This window comes from Homo sapiens, chromosome 17 (genome assembly GCF_000001405.40).
Source record: "Homo sapiens chromosome 17, GRCh38.p14 Primary Assembly".
NCBI classification, from domain to species: Eukaryota; Metazoa; Chordata; class Mammalia; order Primates; family Hominidae; genus Homo; species Homo sapiens.
In genome coordinates, this window is record NC_000017.11 from 33,529,700 (window position 1) to 33,534,538 (window position 4,839).

A 4,839-nucleotide genomic window follows, 5' to 3' on the forward strand; every position below is an offset into this window, starting at 1 on the left:
GCAAAGCATTTAACACAGTGCTTAGAACAGTCACTTCTCAATAGACACACGTGGTTCCTTTCCCTTCCACATGAGGATTAAATGAGATACATCATGTAAGGCATTTAATAGAGTGCTTGCTTGTACTGTGTGCTTAATAAATGTGGGCTATTCTTATTTCCTCAAGCATTCCCTAGGCAGACAGCGGGACTCCTGCCTTTGTGCTCCTCCGGCTCGCTACTCATCCATCTCTTCCAGCCCTTGGAGTATTGAATTTCAATAAGCCATTTTTATGTCTCTCAACCCCGCTGGGTCTTATTCAGCTCACTTCCCTTGGCCTAGTACAAAGTAGGTCCAGGAAATACATGAATAAATGCGAAGGCCATAAAGCGTTCCTTAGCTGGAGAACAGAGAGGCCGGGGGTCACGTGCCTGGGGCTTCCAAGTCCTTAGATGTCCTGTTTCTTGGCCCTTGTGTAAGAACGAGGCTCTCTGAAGGAGAAAGGGGCCCCTTCCAGTGTCTGTGAGTAGAAAGCAGGTAGCAAAATATGTCATGGAATATTCTGTGTGTTGGGTCAATTTCAACCAACACAGAACCTAAATGCTTTGTAGACCTAATTAAACTGGGAGCTTCTAGAAAAATAAAACCGACTTTGAGATTGTCTCTAGACTTCCTTTATTCCTAGCATGCTTGGGCTGGAAAAAGAAAAAGAGAGAGAGGTCAGTCCCCTTTGTCTGTTATGCCCCATGGCAAGCAAGGGGAAGTCTTGGCAGATGGCAGCAAGGCCTTCCTAATTCATGGGTCACCCTGGAGCTGCCCACAGACACTGCCAGACCTTTTAATGAAACCACTTAATTGGCATGAACATAGGCGAGTGTACAGGTCACCTTTGCTCAGGTCAGGGGCTCAGATGGGAGCATGAGGCCTTTTGGGCCTGCACTAAGCCCTTTTTTCAAGGAGACTGTGTTGCTGCCAGGCTCAAGAGAGAGGTGGTTGGAACCTAAAATACTGATAAACAGCTCATAGTCCTGCCTAGGGAGACAGAGGTAGGCCAGCTTTGCCAGGTCATGCAGGACCAACCTCACAGGTACCAAGGGGTTGGAGACTGCCTCTCATAGCTTTGATAAAAGTCAATCATTTCTATTAGTTTATGCATTCACTCATTTAACAAAAGGTTTTCGAGTTCCTGCTCTGTGTTAGGTATATAAAGTGCTTTTCTGTACATTGTTCCATTTGATTTCATTTAATTAGACAAGAACTTGCTGAGTTAGCTACTATCTTCCCATTTTACCAGTAGATAAGCAGAGCCTTAAATAAGTTAAAGAAAAAAATATTTAACTTAAAAATTTTTATTTATTAAAAATTAATTACTAATTTTTAACTTAATTTATTAACTTATTGACTAACTTAGCTCAAAATCACACAGCTTGAAGGTTTGAACCCTAGACTCTGTGATTCAGGCCTCGATCAGTAGAAAGAGTTTACAGGCATGGCCTCCTGGACCTTTAAGGCAAACGTTCCAGAAAGGCTTAGGACAAGATCATAGAACTCCTGGCAGAACCAGGTGCCACCAAGAAGGAGTGTGCTTTGTTTCTGTAGTCTTGGGGTACATAAAGCTGGGCAGGGGGCAGGGGGCAGTGGGTGGGGGTTACACCAAATCTGAGCTGCCTTTATCTGTACCGACCTGACATCTTGAGCAGACCAAGCCCCAGGCAGTAAAAGTGCTGGAAAGTCAAGACACGTGGGCCTCAATCCTCTCTGCTTCTTGAGAGGCGTTCGACCTTGCAGAGGCCCTTGCTCTTGCCATCTGGGGGTTTAGGGCCAGATGGCTGCCCAGGTCTCTTAGAATTAGGTTGGCCTGATTCCTTGAGCTGTGGGGTTGGTGTTCCTGGAGTCACTGCTAAAAATTCTGCAAATTGCAGGGAAGCCAATGTTTAAAGACTTCTCCATCGCACTTGTGGTTGCATACATCCACACACCTCCCAGTGGGTCACGACTTCCTAGGGCTTATCCCACTGCCAAGGAGAGAGGCCCTTCTTTCCTCCATCCTCTACGTCCCCAACTCCCAGCTTCTTTTTCTATCACCTGGGGGGTGCCCATAATCTGTCTCAAGTTTCTGATGGTGAGGTGCTCGAGGTTGGGAAGCGTTTCCCTGACTGTCTCGTGAGCAGAAATGATCACACTGTGTTCCCAGCCCTTTGTTCTCCCCTTAGCCTCCCACTCGGTTTTCCAGGTGAGGTCAAGGGCCACATGGAAAGGGAAAAGGTATTATAATGGAAGGGATGCCCAAGAGGAGTGTGTATGGGAAGGGTTGAGCGATCATACTGGACACTTTCAGGTCTTTTTTATTGGCCATCTGTCCTCCACTTTCTTCTTGCTTCCAGGGAGGTGGGTCTGTGTCTGTGGCTGGATGCAGTGAGAGGAGCCAGAACCAACACCCAGTCTGTTCTTCAGCCAGAGGGGTGAGGCTGAGTCCACTAAGCTGGCACCTCCACGGTTTGCCCTCGGCAAGCGCCTGATGCCTAACCAACCTCACCCATGAAGTCAAGGGTCATTCATCAAACCCATTTTCCTAAGCATCTCCTACATATCAGGCACTGTGCCAGGCTGTGGGAATGCATGATCCACATGGTCCCTGCTCACAGAATTTACAATCTTGTGCTAGAAACTATTAAACTAATAATGACACAAATAATTATAAAATAAAATTGCAGGAAGTCTGCATGTGTCAGCTCCTGACCTTCCTTCTACTTCCAGGACTGGGTTTGATTAAAAGTGAGGCTACTATGATGGGCCACTAGAAGATCTGGGAGGTGAAATCCAGTCCCAAATCTCCTCTCACCCACTGACTCTTGGGACAGCAGAGCAAGTGAATAGGAAAGAAAAAGAAAGAAGATGCTGTAAAAAGGTGGCTTGGAGCTGGCAGGTGCTAGTGCAATGGATGGGGGAAACCATATAATCTGTCATTTCCATCTCTTCCACGTCACTGACATTGGTCCTCTTGACCCTGTCTCAGCTCAGACCTGCATCATCTTTTCACGAGATGATTGTGGCAGCCTTCTGCCGCCAGTCTTGCCTCTCACCCAGCCCAAGATAGCCTCGATAGAATCGATACAAGTCTGCAGAGAACCTCTCCTCTTTCTGCCTAGAGCAGTATTTCTCAGCCTTGGGACTGGTGGCAATTTGGGGCTAGATAACTCTTTGTTGGCTGGGGCTCTCCTGTGCATTGTAGGATGTTTAACAACATCCTTATTAGTAGTGACAACCAAAAATACGTCCAAAGATTGCCATATGCCATATGATTTGGGAACCACTGGCTCAGAGATATTATGCCCTTGAACTTGATATTCAAAGCTCTCCATGATCTGATTCTAAGCTGTATTTCAGGCCGAGTGCAGTGGCTCATGCCTTAATCCCAGCACTTTGGGAGGCTGAGGCAGGCAGATTGCCTGAGGTCAGGAGTTCAAGACCAGCCTGGCCAACATGGTGAAACCCCATCTCTACTAAAAATACAAAAATTAGCCTGGTGTGGTGCCACATGCCTGTAATCCCAGCTACTAGGGAGGCTGAGGCAGGAGAATCGCTTGAACTCAGGAGGCAGAGGTGGCAGTGAGCCAAAAAGAGTAAAGAAAGAAAGAGCGAAAGAAAGAAAGAAAGAAAGAAAGAAAGAAAAAATAAGCTTTGTTTCAGTATGCTCTTCCTCTGTCCTGTCTCTCACATTCTATTATGTAGCCATAATCAAGTATATGAAATTTTCTTAAAGTGCCCTACCTTTTTCTTCTTGCCTTTGGCCATCCTGTTCTCTTGACTTACAGGGCCATGACATCTTCTCTATCTATTAAAAGAAATCTACTTGTGTCACAAGATTCAAATAAAAGGCCTTGTCTGAGAAGCTTTTCCAGATTTCTGGCATTTAGTTATCTTACCTGTCAAATAAGGATAAAAAGTCTGCCCCATGGATTGCCTGGAATCAAAATTTCAGAGTTGTAGGAGACCTGGGGAATCACCAATGTCTTCTTTCAGGGAGATAGACAGAAATGCAAAGAAGTGGATTGTCTTGCGGAAGTCATAGCCGGATGGAAGATAAGCTGCACCTAGAACTTGGTGTTCTAAATTCCGAGATCAATATTCTAAACCCACTTGTCAGCTTTTGCAAGATGAAGACACTATCTAATCAACAGGAAAGTTAACTTTGTGGCCACAAGGTCACAAAAACTCTCTGCACCTCAATGTTTCTCTGTAAGGTGAAGGGCTAAACCAGCTGTTCCCCAAAAATCATTCCAGGATGCTTTGTGCTACTATGCTTCTAATTTTCTTTTGAGAAGATTGTCATTTAATCATAAGCTATTCTTACGGGGAGGTATTCATAATACTTCCCAGTCCATCTCATTGTGGGGGCTGGAAATTTCTGCCCTTGCTACGATGCTGTCAAAATTGAACCCCAGAGCTCAGCTCCCAAGAAGGTTAACATAATGGTTTTGCTACTCATCGTAACAACACCTCACATCATGCCTTCAGATCACTCCCCAGCATCATTCTTCAAATTCAAACGCGAACCAGAAGTGACAAATGATTCTTGTAATGCGCTCTTTGACACAAATCATTTCTGATTGCTCGGGACCCCAGACAACCTTGAGCATGCAGAATCAAGCTGAGAGGGAGAAGTCTTAGAAAATGAACAGCTTCAACTTCTTGCCGATGAGAACCCTCTCTCTGCTCACGAGGCAGGAGCAGTATGTGCTGATTGCCAAACAGATCATTTTTAAAATGATGCAGATCTGTGGGGGATTGGTCCGTGTGGTGATGTGTCTCATCTTACAATGTCCTATGCAGCCTTCAAAGCGTTTTTAGATCCTGGCA

The 4,839-nt window shown here is 45.5% G+C and overlaps 1 protein-coding gene and 1 pseudogene across 2 annotated transcripts in view; both read right to left on the bottom strand.

Annotated features, from left to right (window-relative positions):
* The window catches only part of ASIC2 (acid sensing ion channel subunit 2), a 1,143,682-nt gene that overhangs the window by 516,613 nt on the left and 622,230 nt on the right, over nucleotides 1-4,839 (bottom strand). The window lies entirely within an intron of this gene.
* Nucleotides 88-4,061, bottom strand: AA06 (uncharacterized LOC100506677; annotated as a pseudogene). Its single transcript, NR_037584.2, has 3 exons — nucleotides 3,906-4,061; nucleotides 3,751-3,814; nucleotides 88-499 (listed from the first exon to the last, which is right to left on the bottom strand). The product of NR_037584.2 is annotated as an uncharacterized LOC100506677 (transcript).